This window comes from Homo sapiens, chromosome X (genome assembly GCF_000001405.40).
Source record: "Homo sapiens chromosome X, GRCh38.p14 Primary Assembly".
Classification (NCBI taxonomy): Eukaryota; Metazoa; Chordata; class Mammalia; order Primates; family Hominidae; genus Homo; species Homo sapiens.
This window is the reverse complement of record NC_000023.11, coordinates 16,671,477-16,689,078: the sequence shown is the minus strand read 5'-3', so window position 1 is coordinate 16,689,078 and position 17,602 is coordinate 16,671,477. Positions and strand designations below refer to the sequence as shown.

The 17,602-nt window shown below is 44.4% G+C and overlaps 1 protein-coding gene across 10 annotated transcripts in view; it reads left to right on the top strand.

Moving 5' to 3' along the window:
- Nucleotides 1-17,602, top strand: part of CTPS2 (CTP synthase 2) — a 124,912-nt gene that overhangs the window by 23,832 nt on the left and 83,478 nt on the right. For all 10 annotated transcript variants that reach the window (NM_019857.5, XM_006724503.4, XM_047442260.1 and 7 more), the window contains 2 exons: nucleotides 5,853-5,985; nucleotides 10,629-10,717. In NM_019857.5, coding sequence (NP_062831.3) covers nucleotides 5,853-5,985; nucleotides 10,629-10,717 — 222 coding nt within the window. The remainder of the gene's footprint in view (nucleotides 1-5,852; nucleotides 5,986-10,628; nucleotides 10,718-17,602) is intronic.

The window sequence follows — 17,602 nt, the reverse complement described above, 5'->3', positions numbered from 1 at the left end:
CACCCAGGCGGGAGTGCAGTGGCACGATCTCGGCTCACTGCAACCTCCACCTCCTGGGCTCAAGTCATCCTCCCACTTCAGCCTCCTGAGTAGCTGAGACTAGAGGCACACACCACCACACCCGGCTAATATATATTTTTTTTTTTTTGTAGAGACGGGATTTTTCTATGTTACCCACACTGGTCTTGAACTCCTGGGCTCAAGTGATCTGCCCACCTTGGCCTCCCAAAGTGCTGGGATTATAGGCATGAGCCACCATGCCTGGCCTTAAACAGTTTTAAACTTCACAGGTTTTTTGTTTTGTTTTGTTTTGCTTGTTTTTAAGATTTGGCTAACTTTTCCTAAAGAAAATCATTTTGGATGGGAACTTTTGGCTATGCTAGTTTTGTTTCATCCTGCATTCATTAACTGTTCAGCATAATTATTAAAACTCCTGATGGATTCTAACTTTCAGACAAGTATATTAATTTAAGCAAAGTTTCTCTATTTTGAAGTTATATGAAAATTAAGCTGTGTGCAGTGGCACTTACCTGTAGTCTCAGCTACTTGGAAGGCTGAGGTGAGAGGATCACTTGAGCCCAGGAGTTGGAGGCCAGCCTGAGCAACATAGCGAGACCCTGTATCTTAAAAAAAAAAAAAAAGGGAAATTAAGTCCCTGTCACTTGTTTTCTTTTTTTTTGAGATGGAGTGTCACTGTGTCGCCCAGGCTGGAGTGCAGTGGTGCGATCTTGGCTCACTACAACCTCTGCCTCCTGGGTTCACGCCATTCTCCTGCCTCAGCCTCCTGAGTAGCTGGGATTACAGGCGCCCGCCACCATGCCCAGCTAATTTTTTGTGTTTTTAGTAGAGACGGGGGTTTCACCATGTTTGCCAGGCTGGTCTCGAACTTCTGACCTCAGGCGATTCGCCTGTCTAGGCCTCCCAAAGTGCTGGGGTTACAGGTGTGAGCCACCGCGCCCGGCCCTGTTTTCTTTTACTAAATGTAGTTGAGATGGGACTTCTTGGGCAGCTTAGGTGAGCGCCAGTAGGTGCAGCTGTTACGTATGTAGGTTCTGGACTCAAATCCTGGCCTCTTCTCTTACCAGCTGTGTGAGTTTGGGTGATTACTTAACCTATCTAGGCTTTTTTTCCCTTCTGTATATAATAAGGGGATACCAGTGCCTACCTAGTGGCAATTATGAGAGGAAACCTTAAAGACTTAACATTGAGTCACGTACTATAATAAGTATCGGTTGCTGATGTTGGTAACCATAATTAAAATGATGGTGACAAAATTACTGACCCTTGGTAGATGACTAATCAGATTGAGGCTCTCTTGCTCTTTCATTTACAATTTTAAAAAATGCTTTAGATTTTCTGGGGCAAGTGGAATCAGGAAGGAAGAGCAGTTTCTGAGCTTAGATTCTCTAAAACCCTTGCTCTCTAGAGTGCTTAAAGTGCCAGTCATTTCACAGGAATTTTCTAAGTAGCTTGGGGCTGATACACTTTAAGCACTAGAAGTTTTAATATTTTAACTCTTTTTATTGGAAATAGCTCTAAATTATACTCTATGCGTTTATGCTTTTTTTCTTTTTCTTTTCTTTCTTTTTTTTTTTTTTTTTTTTGACACAGGGTGTTGCTCTGTTGCCCAGGCTGGAGTGCAGTGGTGCAATCTCAGCTCACTGCAGCCTCGACCTCCTGGGCTCAAGCGATCCTCCTGCCTCAGCGTCCCCAGTAGCTGGGACCACAGGTGCGCTACACCACGGCCAACTAATTTTTGTATTTTTAGTAGAGACGGGGTTTTGCCATCTTGCTCAAGTGATCTTCCTGCCTCGGCCTCCCAAAGTGTTGGGATTACAGGAATGAGCCATATGCCTGGCGCTTCTGTGCTTTTTAAAGCCACATGTTTGGTCTTTGTATTAGCTTCCTGGGGGCTGCCATAACAATGACCACTAACTGGGCAGCTTAAAAAAACACAACAGGAATTTATTCTCTCACAGTCCTGGAGGTCAGAAGTGCAAAATCAATGCATCCACAGGGTTGGTTCCTTCTAGAGGCTCTGCAGGAGATTCTCTGCCACACCCCTTCTCCTGGCTTCTGGTGGCTGCCAGCAATCAGTGGTGTTCCTTGGCTTGTGGCCACATCACTCCAATCTTGTCCTCCATCTTTTATTTCCTTATTTATTTTTTTTTTTTTGAGATGGAGTCTCACTCTGTCACCCAGGCTGGAGTGCAGTGGTGCAACCAGGGCTTAATGCAACCTTGAACTTCTGGGCTCAAGTGATCCTCCTGCCTCAGCCTCCCAGGTAGCTGGGACTACAGGTGCATGCCACCATGCTTGGCTAATTTTTGTGTTTTTTATAGAGACAGGGTTTCACCATGTTGCCCAGCCTGGTCTCAAACTCCTGAGCTCAAGCAATCCACCTGGTTTAGCCTCCTAACGTGTTGGGATTAAAGGCGTGAGCCACCATGCCCAGCCTTTGGCCTCCAGGCCTCCATCTTCACATCACCTTCTCACTTGTGTCTTCTTCCCTTCTCTTCTTTTGTAAGGATGCTTGTCATTGGATGTAAGGCAGGCCCTAATCCAGGATGATCTCAGCTGGAGAGCCTTACTTATGTCTGCAAAGACCCTTTTTCCAAACAAGGTCACATTCACAGGTTTTGGGGACAAATTTCTTTGGGGGGGGGCCACCATTCAACTCACTACAGCCTTTTTATTTTTAATTTTTATGGGTACATAGTAGGTGTATATATTTGTAGGGTACATGAGATATTTGGTACAGGCATATAATGCATTATAATCACATCAGGGTAAATGGAGTATCCATCACCTCAAGCCTTTATCCTTTCTTTGCAATACAAACAATCCAAGTATACTCTTTTATTTATTTAAGAATGCACAATAAATTGTTGACAATTTTCAAGCAAGGAGATATTGTGCATGGGTGCCTCTGCAGCACTGGGCCTCCCTCTGCATCACATTGGTGGTGACATTGTTAATTGATGCGAAGTGTCCATTCTTTAGCTTTGGTCCTCTCAGTATAGCCTGTAGAGAGGTGCAAGGAGCCAAACGGAGGCCAAAGGAACAGCCTCTATCATGGAGGCCCAGTGCTGCTCAGAGGCCAGGGGTCCCTGATTAAACAGGGACAGCTTGCCTGGGACCCGAAGTCAAGGTGGGCACAATTCTCCACCTCCTCCTATTCATTGTCTTTTTTTTTTTTTTTTTTTTTTTTGGAGACAGAGTCTCGCTGTGTCGCCCAGGCTGGAGTGCAGTGGTGCGATCTCAGCTCACTGCAAGCTCTGCCTCCTGGGTTCATGCCATTCTCCTGCCTCAGCCTCCCGAGTAGCTGGGACTACAGGCGCCCACCACCACGCCCGGCTAATTTTTTTTTTTTTGTATTTTTTTAGTAGAGATGGGGTTTCACCATGTTAGCCAGGACGATCTTGATCTCCTGACATCGTAATCCGCCCACCTCGGCCTCCCAAACTGCTGGGATTACAGGCATGAGCCACCACACCCAGCCCTCTTCATCTCTCTTGAGACCCGACTCTTGGGGGTGGCCCTGCAAAGAGGACTCCCCTCCCCCTCCCACAGCAGCTTGAAGTAGTATCACATGCTTGCCTCACATTCGGTGATGGCTGATGGCTGAGTGGGGCACATGAGGGAGACCTTGGTTGCTCTCGGAAGTACAGGTCCAAGGGGGAATGAGAGCTCCCTGGTAGGTGTGACCCAGTGGACTCACCTGTACCACCTGCTGCCCAGTGACTCCTCCCCTGGGAAGACCAGCTGTGAGTGAGCCGTAGGAGTAACCTGTGATACTGACCCCAGTGCTGCTTCCTTCCGGGGGCAGAGCTGATGTTGTCTCTTCTGTCTATGGAGGAGGGAGAAGGGGGTGAAGCCAAATCTGCTGTTCTCAAATGCGGCTCTGCCTGCCTGCCTCTGACATCATCTCTACTACTTGGTGTGCTGTCATCCTGCTTTCTGTTACCCGCATCCTCTTTTTTTTTTGGAGAAGAAGTCTGGCTCTGTCGCCCAGGCTGGAGTGCAGTGGCATGATCTCGGTTCACTGCAACCCCTGCCTCCTGGATTCAAGTGATTCTCCTTCCTCAGTCTCCTGAGTAGCTGGAACTACAGGCGTGCACCACCATGCCAGCCTAATTTTTGTATTTTTAGTAGAGACAGGGTTTCACCGTGTTGGCCAGGCTGGTCTGGAACTCCTGATCTCAAGTGATCTGCCGGCCTTGGCCTCCCAAAGTGTTGGGATTACAGGCATGAGTCACCACGCCCGGCCCGTTACCTGCATACTTTATGGAGAGGTGGTGTGAGATACAGACAGCTGTGAAACCTCCAGAGCAACATAAAATAAAGTAGTGAGTTCAAGGGTTAGCAGCTTGAACTATTTTAGTCACCTTTTAGTGACCTTTTATCAGCTATTTTAGTCATCTTTCTAGAAAGTTACCTTCCCTGTCAGTTTTGACTTCTTAGCTTCTTGTGCATTATTCCCACACATAGCCTGTTTGTGATCTAGTTTCTCTTGTACTCTTTACAGATATGTGTTCTTTTTGTTTTTGTTTTTTTTTTTTTTTTTTTGGAGACAGAGTCTCGCTCTGTGGCCTAGGCTGGAGTGCAGTGGTGCGATCTCGGCTCACTGCAACCTCTGCCTCCCGGGTTCAAGTGATTCTCCTGCCTCAGCCTCCTGAGTAGCTGGGATTACAGGTGCGTACCACCACGCCCAGCTAATTTTTGTATTTTTAGTAGAGACGAGGTTTCACCATGTTGGCCAGGATGGTCTCGAACTCCTGACCTCAGGTGATCCACCTGCCTTGGCCTCTCAGAGTGCTGGGATTACAGGTGTGGGCCACCGTGCCCGGCCACTCTTTGCAGATGTTGATATTCAAGAGAGATATTCGTCATCATGGTAACATTTTTCTAAGGTGTTTGGGGAAGGGTTTGCTTCAAAGCCCTAAAACACCTTCAGCCCCAAGATGACATTTCCACGTACCTAATACCAAACCAGATATTTTTCATGTTCTTTGAACAGATTTCCTGACAAAAGCAACACTAAAAATTGTGTCTCTAATGGTAAAATGTGATCGAGTGTCTTCTGTAGAATGGAATTTTTCTCATAAAAATGATCTAAATGGCTAGTAATATTTTAAATCGTTCTCTCAGCACCATTCTTCAGGCATGCCATGAATAACCAGACTTTTGTGGGTCAGCTGGGAATGTAACCATTTTAAATGTAGACACTTTGAATGCATTTTCTTACACAATGTCACCTTACAAAGTTAATATTGGAATGTTTCCTACTGACACGCAGAATGCATTTTTTTTATACAATGTCACCTTATTAACCAATGTAAGAATAGCTCATGTTTATGAGATTGGGATAGCTTTTCAATTTTTACTTTTAATGCTTTTAACTTTTTCTCTGATATACTTGAATTTTTATCTGTATCTGCTTGTGTAAAACAACGTTGGGATTTCTGTTTTTGTTTTATGAGACAGTGTCTCACTGTGTCGCCCAGGCTGGAGTGCAGTGGTGTGATCATAGCTCACTGCAGCCTTGGTCTCCTGGGCTCAAGTGATCCTCCAACCTCAGCCTCCTGAGTAGCTGGGATTGTAGGCATGCCCCACCACGCCTGGCTAATTTTTGTATTTTTTTGTAGAGACGGGGTCTAACTATGTTGCCCAGTCTGGTCTCAAACTCCTGGGCTTCAGTGATTCTCTCGCCTCAGCCTCCTGAGTAGCTAGGACTACAGCTGCTCCCGAGGATTTAAAAAGTGCCTTGGAGTAAGAGCAGCAGCTGCCATTGTTCTGTTTGTGATGTTCTGTTATGTGCATATAACCTTTGAGTTTGTTTTCTTTCCCAGGTATGAAAGGTTACAGAAAATATGCTCCATAGCCCTGGTTGGCAAATACACCAAGCTCAGAGACTGCTACGCCTCTGTGTTCAAAGCCCTGGAACACTCAGCCCTGGCCATCAACCACAAGTTGAATCTGATGGTGAGTCCTGGCCTGGTCTTTTGGCTATCTCAGTAATTCATGCCAATAGCACATGTTCCAGAGGGGCAAGTTTTGTTAAAGGGTCCCTGAGATCACCTGCAGGACTTACGATTCACCAGAAGAACTCACAGGACTCATCATATAGTTATACTCATAGCTAAGATTTATTATAGCCAGACAATGCAAAGCAAAATCAGCCAAGGAAAAGTCGTGCAGGGTGAAGTCTAGGAGTAACCAGGCGCAAGCTTCTAAGTGCTCTCCCCTGGTAGAGTCCAGTGAGTTGTGATAATACATGCAAACTGCCATTTACTAAGGAAGCTCATTGAAGACTTGAAGCCCAAGGTTTTTACTGGGGGCTGGTCACGTAGGCACCCTCTTCTTAGCACTTCCCAAAATGCCAGCCTCCCAGAAGGAAAGCATGCAGCAGAAACCATGTTGTCTGTACAGACACTTTCAGCACAGTGAGCTTCTCCTATCAGTTCTTGGAATGATGGGAACCCTCCCAAAATCAGAGTTTCCAGAAGCCAGTCAAGTCTCAATCTTGTAGCAGGCCTTTCCAAGGGCAGCAGCCAGGCTTGCTGTGTAAACGGTTTTCTTTTTTCCTTTTTTGAGACACAGTCTCCCTCTGCCGCCCAGGTTGGTGTGCAGTGGCATGATCTCGGCCCACCGCAACCTCTGTCTTCACCGTTCCAGCAATTCTTGTGCCTCAGCCTCCTGAGTATCTGGGATTACAGACTCCCGCCACCATGCCCAGCTAATTTTTGTATTTTTAATAGAGACGGGGTTTCACCACGTTGGCCAGGCTGGTCTCGAACTCCTGATCTCAGGTGATCTGCCCGTCTTGGCCTCTCAAAGTGCTGGGATTACTGGCATGAGCCACTGTGCCTGGCCTGTGTAAGCTGTTTTCTACATGTAGGTTTAAGGCACATTTCTGAAAGTAGGCTTTGCACATTCAGATGAATGAGCATGCTTGTCATGCTCGTTTAAGTACGTCGTAATTGCCTAACAGGAAAATAATAGGACATTTTTTCCCTTTAGCATTGGAATGGAATCTAGATTTTTTAAAATACTATATTCCCCTCTCTAACATGGAGGAATGATAGCTAGCAAACAGTGATTATTTGTTTTGGAAACTCAGTATTGTGGAATAACAGAGGCGTAGTTATCTTATATAGCTTGAGTATATTCTTCCATATAAGAACGGAAGTAGTACATGTTTAGAGTAAAACATTTAAACAAAGCATAAGCCAGGCGAAGTAGTTCACGCCTGTAATCCCAGCCCTTTGGGAGGCTGAGCCAGGTGGGTTGCTTGAGCTCAGGAGTTGAAGACCAGCCTGGGCAACAATGGGAGACCTCATCTCTATAAAAAAAACTTAAAAAGTTAGCCGGGTGTGGTGGCATGCGCCTGTAGTCTCAGCTAATTGGGAGGCTGAGGCAGGAAGATCACTTGAGCCCAGGAGTTTGATACTGCGGTGAGCTATAATTGCGCCACTGCACTCCAGCCTGGGTGACAGATTGAGACCCTGTCTCCAAAAAACAAAACAAAACAAAATAAAGCATAAATCTAAAATGCAGAAAGCAGATTCCTCCTCCCTGAAATCCCACTTGTTACCAGTTGGATACGTATATTTATATATCTATCTCACATTTATATTTAATGATATTCAGTATGAGTATATCATTGTTTAAGCAAGTCTTATCATCTTGACTTAAATGGCAAAAACTTTGTATAATGAGTAAAAAGATCCATTTATATGTTAAAGAAATTTAATGGCTTCCACTTTGACACTAGCTTAGGAGAACTAGCTGCTGTTTCTCTCTCCTCTTTTTAGCCTCCTTCTTTCCTAATCACTTTTTAAAAATTTTATTTTATTATTTTTTAATTAATTAATTAGTTAATTACTTTTTAGATGGAGTTTTGCTCTTGTTGCCCAGGCTGGAGTACAGTGGTGCCATCTCAGCTCACTGCAACCTCTGCCTTCTGGGTTCAAGTGATTCTCCTGCCTTAGCCACCCGAATAGCTGGGATTACAGGCATGTGCCACCACGCCCAGCTAATTTTTGTATTTTTAGTAGAGATGGAGTTTCTTCATGTTGGCCAGGCTGGTCTCGAACTCCTGACCTCAGGTGATCCACCTGCCTTGGCCTCCCAAAGTGTTGGGATTACAAGCGTGAGCCATCGTGCCTGGCCTATTTTTTAATTTTTATAGAGACGGGGTCTCGCTATGTTGCCCAGGCTGGTCTCGAACTGCTCAAACAATTCCTCCTGCCTTGGCCTCCTAAAGTGCTAGGATTACAGGCGTGAGCCACCATGACCAGCCCCTAATCACTTTTTACTTTTGGCTTTCTAAGGAATAGTTTACTTCCCATTCCTCCCACTCCTTCAAGTCGCCCGCCCCATTATGTAAAAAAAAGAAAATGGCAATGGAAAAATTGCCATGACATATACATTTTATAAAGCCTTTAGAAATTTGTATCTTAAAGTTTATTTGAATAGTCTTTTTTTTTTCTTTTCTTTTCTTTTTCTTTTTTTTTTTTTTGAGACAGGGTCTCGCCCTTTCTCCTAGGGTGGAGTGCAGTGGTGCGATCTTGGCTCACTGCAACCTCCACCTCCGGGGTTCAAGCAATTCTTGTGCCTTAGCCTCCTGAGTAGCTGGGATTACAGGTGCCCGCCACCACACCTAATTTTGTTATTTTTAGTAGAGACAGGGTTTTGTCATGTTGGCCAGGCTGGTCTTAAACTCCTGGCCTTAAGTGATCCACCTGCCTCGGCCTCCCAAAGTGCTGGGATTATAGACGTGAGCCACTGTGCTTGGCCAGGAGAGTCATTTTTACAGAAGAAATACTAAACTAATATAGATAGAGAGGGACTGTTATATACATAAGAATTGGTGCACATGATGCTTCATCTGATAGGATTCATTGACATTAGCTTCTCCTAAGTACTGTTTGAATCCTGGCCTTGTCATCTTCCTTCTAAGATTGGGCTGCATCTGTCTATCTCTCCTGGTTTGCTGCAGCTGCAGCGGCTTCCGGGCTGGTTTCCAGCTGCCAGTCTTCCCTGCCTTTGCCACACTCTACCAGAGTGATCATTGTAAAATCTTTCTCGGTTCTCTCTGTTCCTGTCGTCCCTTTACTTAAGATCTTTCAGTGGTGTCTCAGTCTGTTCAGGCTGCTGTAACAAAGTACCATAGACCAGGTGGCTTACAAACAACTGCCATTTCTCTCTCACAGTTCTGGAGGCTGGAAGTCCAAGATTAGGGTGCCAGCATGTGGCCGGGTTCTGGTGAGGGCCCTCTTTTGGGTGCAGAGGACCAACCTCTGGTTATATCCCCATGTGCGGAAGGGGTGAGGGAGGTCTATGGGGCCTTTTTTATAGGGGCACTAATCCTATTCCTATGTGCTCTGCCTTCTTGACCTAATCATCCCTCAAAGACCCCACCTACCTCCTAATACCATTCCTTTGGGAGTTGGGATTTCAACATAGGAATTTTGGGGGAACACAGACATTCAAACCATTGCAATTGGCTTCAAGTGTCAAGTCTGTGTCATGGCTTCTCAGCCTCGTCCCTTGCCTTCCTCCAACCAATCAGGTCTGTCCTCTCGCTGGGTGGGGCCTTTTTTGAGGGTCCCAGAGTGGCTACCACTTTCTCTCTTTTTCCTCTGAGGTTTCATATAAGTGGTTCCTTTGCTGGAGATTTCTTTTTTTTTTATTTATTTTTATTTTTTTATTTTTTGAGACGGACTCTCACTCTGTTGACCAGACTTGAGTGCAGTGGCACAATCTAAGCTCACTGCAACCTCTGCCTCCTGGGTTCATGTGATTCTTCTGCCTCAGCCTCCCGAGTAGCTGAGATTACAGGCACCTGCCACCATGCCTGGCTAATTTTTATATTTTTAGTAGAGACGGGGTTTTGCCACGTTGGCCAGGCTGGTCTTGAATTCCTAACCTTAGATGATCTGCCCACCTCGGCCTCCCAAAGTGCTGGGATTACAGGCATGAGCCAATGCGCCCGGCCTGCTGGAGATTTCATACCCTTCTCCCCTCCTCTCTTTGTCTCCTGCTGCCTCCCATCACACACGTGCTTATCTTGCTTCTGCTCTCCTCTCGGCTGGCTTCTTGAACATTACCTCCCCAGAGCTCTTCCTTGACGTCAATCCTTCCTGTCTTTCCTCCAGTGTTCAGTTCTAGTGACGTCCTAGTTGCTTTTTTTTTAAATTTTTTTTTGAGACAGTGTCTCACTCTGTCACTCAGGCTGGAATGCAGTGTTACAATCAGGGATCATTGCAGCCCGGACCTCCCAGGCTCAAAGGATCCTCCCACCTCAGCTTCCCAAGTAGCTGGGGCTACAGGCACGTGCCACCCCACGCGGTTGACCCCAAGTTACTTCTGCATCGTTCTCTTCTTTGTCTGTCATAGCCATTATCACAGTATAGTGTGGATGCCCGTTTATCTGGTTTTGTAATCTTTCTGAAAGATTATAAGAGCCGCAAAACAGAGACTGTTTTTCTATCCCTAGTGCCCAGTACAGTGTTTGCATAATAAGTAATTATTGAATAATGTGTCATAGTATTAGATGGCTGCAGTATTTTTGAGTGTTTATTTTTCTTAAATACTCCTTTTATCTGTTGGATGTTTTTTAGTACATAGACTCCATTGATCTGGAGAAGATCACTGAAACCGAGGACCCTGTGAAATTTCATGAAGCTTGGCAGAAGCTATGCAAAGCTGAGTGAGTACCAGGGCCCACGCACACCAGTTAGGATAGGACCATTGTACTTTTTCTGTAATGATTCAGTTTACCCTAATTGCTAATTTTCATGCATTTTGAAAGGTAGTTTGGAGTACTTGTGGTCTTTGCAGGTGATTGTTCCACGATCATACTGCGTTGATTTGAAATGTGCCATGTTAATGCTGGTGGCATGTGCATAGAAATGGTTTTATTTGGGGAGGATGGGGATACTGTGGGAAAGTGTGTTGATTCTCCTGAAGGATGCAGAGGGAAAGTGTGTTGATTCTCCTGGAAGATGCAGAGATGAATCTTACATATGCAAAGTTAAAGTACAAGAATGACAGCTTTTTTTTTCTCTCTCTTTTTACAAAGTGAAAGCAAGTTTATTAGGAAAGTAAAGGAATTAAAGAATGGCTACTCCACAAGCAGAGCAGCCCTGAGGGCTGCTGGTTGCCCCTTTTATGGTTATTTCTTGGTTACATGCTAAAGAAGGGATGAATTATACGTGCCTCCCCCTTTTAGACCTTATAGGGTAACTTCCTGATGTTGCCATGGCATTTGTAAACTGTCATGGCACTGGTGGGAGTGTAGCAGTGAGGATGACCAGAGGTCACTCTCATTGCCATCTTGGTTTTGGTGGCTTTTAGCTGGCTTCTTTACTGCAACCTGTTTTATCAGCAAAGTCTTTATGACCTGTATCTTTTGCTGACCTCCTATCTCATCCTGTGACTTAGAATGCCTAACTATCTGGGAATGCAGTCCAGTAGGTCTCAGCCTTATTCTACCCAGCCCCTATTCAAGATGGAGTTGCTGTGGTTCAATATTTCCCCTCTCCCTTTTATAGGAGAACTCTTAATACTAAGGGTTGCAGAGGGACAAAGCTCCATCTTCTGTAACTTCTTCGTGTTGAATAGGGGCAATGACATTCCTCCCTATTAGAGTCTCTTGTATTTGGGGTAGAGAAGAGGTCAGTCAGAAAGCGTCAGATGGCGAGGGCCATTCATAACTCTGAGTTCCAACAAAAGGTGATATCTGGAAGATTAATAAATGTTTAGTTTAAGAAAACATTGAGTAAGCTTATTCTGCATTCCTACACAAAGAGTACAATAGCAATATATTCCACAACAGTAAAGCAAAAAATTATCCCAAGTAAACTAAATTAGAAGGCTTTCCATGAACTGGGCAACTGTTGGAACCAAGCTGATATGCAGTTGCTAGCTGATTTCAATACATGCCCAGAATTAGAATACTGATCCCAATTTTTACGTTACCCATCCCTCTTGTTTTTTTTTTTTTTTTTTCCGAGACAGAGTCTTGCTCTGTCTCCCAGGCTGGAGTGCAGTGGTGCGATCTCGGCTCACTGCAACCTCCGCCTCCCAGGTTCAAGCAATTCTTCTGCCTCAGCCTCCCAAGTAGCTAGGATTACAGGCACGCGCTACCATGCCTGGCTGATTTTTGTATTCTTAGTAAAGACGGGTTTCACCATGTTGGCCAGGCTGGTCTTGAACTCTTGACCTCGTTATCCACCCGCCTTGGCCTCCCAAAGTGCTGGGATTACAGGTGTGAGCCACCACGCCCAGCCCTGCTCTTGTTTTTTTCTGAGCTGCAGTCACAGATCACTGATTGTTTCACAGGAATAAGCAGGGTCAGTCTAAATTGCAGAAAAAAACTTCAAAAACAACCAATAAGACTAGAATTCATAATAATAACAGTTAGACCATAGTTCTTGAAACATAATTTTTTCTCTCTCCAGTTTCCCATTTTCACTAAAGACAAATCATGGTAAGAACAATTTGCTTTATTATACTTGGCCTGATTATTTGTATAAAGTGCAGCAAGAATAATTATTTTTCAATAGGCTTTTAAAATTGGCTTTGACAGAACCTTATTCCATAAGGAATCTCAGATAAGACCTTTTTTAAAGCTGAGCCCACCCATGGGTTTGTACCCTCAAATACCTATGAATTGGGTAAATTCCTCTCTTTTTGAGGTCCCAAGATAACTTGAGGCTCCTGGACCTGTCAGAAAGTGACATTCTTTAGTTACCACAGGTCAGAAACCCTGTACAGGGACTGTGTAGACAAGGTATGAGGCTAGTTTTCCCACGGGGCTTGTATTGGCTTTACAATTCAAGTTCGATTCTTTACAGGAAAGCACACCATTCCAGTCAAAGCCTTGGTAATATAACCAGTTTCTCCCTCCAATTGTGTCCTGTTGCAAAATAAAAAAGATTCTTATTGCACTTATGCAAACAACTATATTGCCATAAGTTAAGAATACTCACAAATTCCAAATTTCCCAATTCTGGACAAATCAGGTAGAGAGAAACAAATATGCTCCAAATTTTGTTCACAGGAGTATACTTTACTCAATTGTTACAAGCTGTATATAGCTCAAAAGAACAGTTTTCTTGACTCCGAAAAATAAAACAAAAAGGATCAGCAACATTTTAAGCAAAGTAAAAAATATTAATTTTTTATTAGTTCATTCCATGGAGCTAACTCCTGTTCTACTTGATAGTCATGAACATTTCAGCTCTCCATGAGAGTCCTGAAAGATTTTCCTCTATTCTGCTGTCACAATCTCCAAAGTTATCAGAAACTTGCATTTAAGAACAGCTGTTAGAGTTCTATAGTTGATTTTTAACTACCTTCTAAAGAGGACCAAAACAATACAATTGTCTGTGGGTGACAAAATGTTTTAGGGCAGCCACTATTAAAGCCACAATTGACTAGGAATTTGTTACATCTGTGGCTTACAACAATTTTGCATAACAATGATAATTATTAATAACATACACGAATTCATATTAGAATTATAGAAGTTTCTTATAATTTTGGAACACATACAATAACATATTTATACAAATACAGCCCAAAGAAAGCCAAACACCATTTCATATTTGACAGTGCTTTTCGTATAATTTTTATACCAAATATACCAAACTTCACCATTGCATTAGTGCATTAAATTCATGTCAAACCCAATTTTTAATAAAACCTTATAGATAAATCTATCCAATTTTAGTTTGACCATAAGGTAAGATTTTTACAAACCTTCTATAATCCTTTACAAGTTTTTTTTTTTTTTTTGAGACACAGTCTCTTGCTCTGTCACCGAGGCTGGAGTGCAGTGGTGTAATCTTGGCTCACTGCAACCTCCGCCTCATGGGTCCAAGCAATTCTCCTGCTCCATCCTCCCGAGTAGCTGGGATTACAGGCACCCGCCATCATGCCTGACTAATTTTTTTTGCATTTTTGTAGAGATGGGGTTTCACCATGTTGGCCAGGCTGGTCTCGAACTCCTGACCTCAAGTGATTCGCCCACCTCAGCCTCCCAAAGTGCTGGGATTACAGGCATGAGCCACCATGCCTGGCTCCTTTAGAAGTTTTTGTTAAAGAGCAGATCAGCACTCTAAGAGAAACCTGTTGTGCTTTTATTTCAATGTTCAATTTATGGAAAACCTGAATACACCTTTAACTTTAGCCAATGTCCACACGCATAATTTCTTTTTTTTTTTTTTTGAGACGGAGTCTCGCCTTGTTGCCCAGGCTGGAGTGCAGTGGCGCAATCTCTGCTCACTGCAAGCTCTGCCTCCTGGGTTCATGTCATTCTCCTGCCTCAGCCTCCCGAGTAGCTGGGACTACAGGCGCCTGCCACCACGCCCGGCTAATTTTTTGTATTTTTAGTAGAGACGGGGTTTCACCGTGTTAGCCAGGATGGTCTCGATCTCCTGACCTCGTGATCTGCCCACCTTGGCCTCCCAAAGTGCTGGGATTACAGGTGTGAGCCACCATGCCCGGCCTGCGTAATTTCTTTTATAAGATTAATCCTTCACAAACCTTCTACAACTTGCTCAAACTTTCAGCTTTATCTTATCTAACTTAAAATAATCCGTTAGCTGGATGCGGTGGCTTACGCCTGTAATCCCAGCACTTTGGGAGGCTGAGGTGGGTGGATCACCTGAAGTCAGGAGTTCTAGACCAGCCTGACTAACATGGTGAAACCCCGTCTCTACTAAAAATACAAAATTAGCTAGGTGTGGTGGTGCATACCTGTAATCCCAGCTACCTGGGAGGCTGAGGCAGGAGAATCGTTTGAACCCACGAGGTGAAGGTTGCAGTGAGCCAAGATTGCACCATTGCACTCCAGCCTGGGCAACAAGAGTGAAACTTCGTCTGAAGACAAAAACAAAACAGCAAAAAACAATCCTTTAACCTTTTAATCTAGGCAAAAAAAAAAAAAATCCACATTTTCATGCCTTCTTATAATCTTTTACTAAAAACACATTTCACTTTCCTTATGCAACTTGCATGTAAAACTGTTTCTTCAGTAGTCTCAATTACAGATTACACTGTTAACTCTTAGGAACTTTTACTTTTGGTGAAAAACCTGGTTAGTAAGCAATTTTAATTACGTACTAGGTATGGAGCCTAGGACACTAGATAAGGTCTGACCTTTTCCAGCATAGCTAGGGGGCATGGCTTTCAACTTGTCCCCAAGCCTTACCTAGAATCTAATGCTCCAAAGTAGGTAAATTGAACAATTTTCAAGAGTCAAAGCAGTTTATGACCTTAAAGCATTGAGAAAACCTAATATCTGACCTGCCTAATTTAGACCAAATGTCTTTATTTTCCCAATAATCTTTAAAGCTGTTTTTATTACCCAAAGATTACTAAAGTTATGTGAACTAAAAGTCATTACAATTTTTACTTTTCTTACACAATACTTGATTTAAGCTTTACTATTTTTAAACCAATTAAAGCTTTTTTTTTTTAACATCACACACACAACACATATAAATGCACAGACAGAAAGAAGATCCAGTAGTTGTAAGCACCCAAATATCAATCAGAAAGGCTTATCCCCTAAACTAGGAATTGAACCCTGAACCCAGGTCACCATTGTGATGATGGAGACCAAGAGAAAGTACTGCCACATGGTTGCAAGGTCAAGCTCCCAAGGACATGAAACAAGATGAGAGGGAACCCTTATCTAGTTTTTCTTCAGGGACCTACAGCAAAGTTTGTTATTGACCAGTTTGCTGGGGTGGCTTGAACAGCAGGCTTACAGGGGTCCTAGGCCCACATTCTATCCTAAGACCCCTCATTATGACAGAACAATACAGAAAGACACACAAAGCACACCAGATTCACTGTAGCTTAAGAGTAGCCTCGGCCGGGCGCGGTGGCTCACGCCTGTAATCCCAGCACTTTGGGAGGCCGAGGCGGGCGGATCACGAGGTCAGGAGATCGAGACCATCCCGGCTAAAACGGTGAAACCCCGTCTCTACTAAAAATACAAAAAATTAGCCGGGCGTAGTGGCGGGCGCCTGTAGTCCCAGCTACTTGGGAGGCTGAGGCAGGAGAATGGCATGAACCCGGGAGGCGGAGCTTGCAGTGAGCCGAGATCCCGCCACTGCACTCCAGCCTGGGCGACAGAGCGAGACTCCGTCTCAAAAAAAAAAAAAAAAAAAAAAAGAGTAGCCTCACAAATCCTTTTTACCATTAATCAAAACTTTACACAGGAGACAGTGATTTTTACCATTCATTCAACCAATTTGCACAGAGAGAGAGAGAGGCCAGAAGTCTGACTGGTAAGAAATTCTTACCCTTTTGTCGGTATGCTAGGCTTCTGGGTTCCCTTTCCTTGAGCAGCCCTAGTGACCCGGCTGGCTGCACCACAGCCCTGGGGGCCAAGCTGTAACACAAAGGAAAATTATCTTTTCCTGTTCTGGCCAGAGCAAAATATGTGTGACAAAACATAGACATTAGCCACTCTGCCTAGCACCCAATATCTTACTGGCAAGGCTCAAACTTGCCCCTGGTTGGGCCCCATCATCATTAATCCAACCTCTGACCAGGAGTTTCAACTTGTCTCTGGGCAAGATGGTCGCCTTGAGTAACAGAAAAGATACGAAAAGGAAAGGAGATAAAGGGAGAAAAGCATTGCCCGCAGCATTTTGGGGAAGGCAAAGAGCTCAGGGAGGCCAGAGAAAGACGCACCCATTGCAGTGACACTGAAAAGTTCAGGTGGCCGCTTGTCGGTCGTGAAGGGATCTTTTCCAGGAGTCTCATCAACTCTCAAGTTTCCCCTTTTGAGGAGGAAAAAGCTCCCCATGTCCCATGGTCCTGTGCATGCCTAGTTCTGTCACCCATAGCTATCAGCAAAGAGTGCAAGGCAGAATAATCCAAAGAGAATAGCAATTAACATCCCATAGTGCCAAACCTATTCTTAGCAGAGAGGGACTTTACTGAGAGAGGCCTCTAACCCCCTAAACCTTAGGAAGGACTCTAACCTTCCTAAGTTGTGCCTCCAACCCAAGGTCATTCAAGCATCCTTGCCTTTTATTGAGAGGAGCCTTTAACTCTCTCTGTTTTAGGAGAGACTCTAAGTTGGGCCTCTAACCCAATCCCATCCTTTACCTGGGTATATGCACCCCATTTACCCAAAGTCAGCCAATTGGTGCACACAGACGATTTTCCTTTGGGTCTGGGGTCTCTTCAGTATTGTTCTTTCCGTGTTTCACTAGAAAGATGTTACTGGAGGCTGGGCATGGTGGCTCACGCCTGTAATCCCAGCACTTTGGGAGGCTGAGGCGGTCTTATTGCCTGAGCTCAGGAGTTCGAGGCCAGCCTGGGTAACATGGTGAAACCCCATCTCTACTAAAATACAAAACATTAGCTGGGCGTGGTGGCGTGTGCTTGTAATCCCAGCTACTCGGGAGGCTGAGGCAGGAGAATTGCTGGAACCCGGGAGGTGGAGGTTGGAGAGGGCCGAGATCGCGCCACTGCACTCCAGGCAGGGTGACAAGAGCAAGACTCTGTCTCAAAAAAAAAAAAAAAAAAAAAAAAAAGAAAAATGTTACTGGACCCCACCACGTAC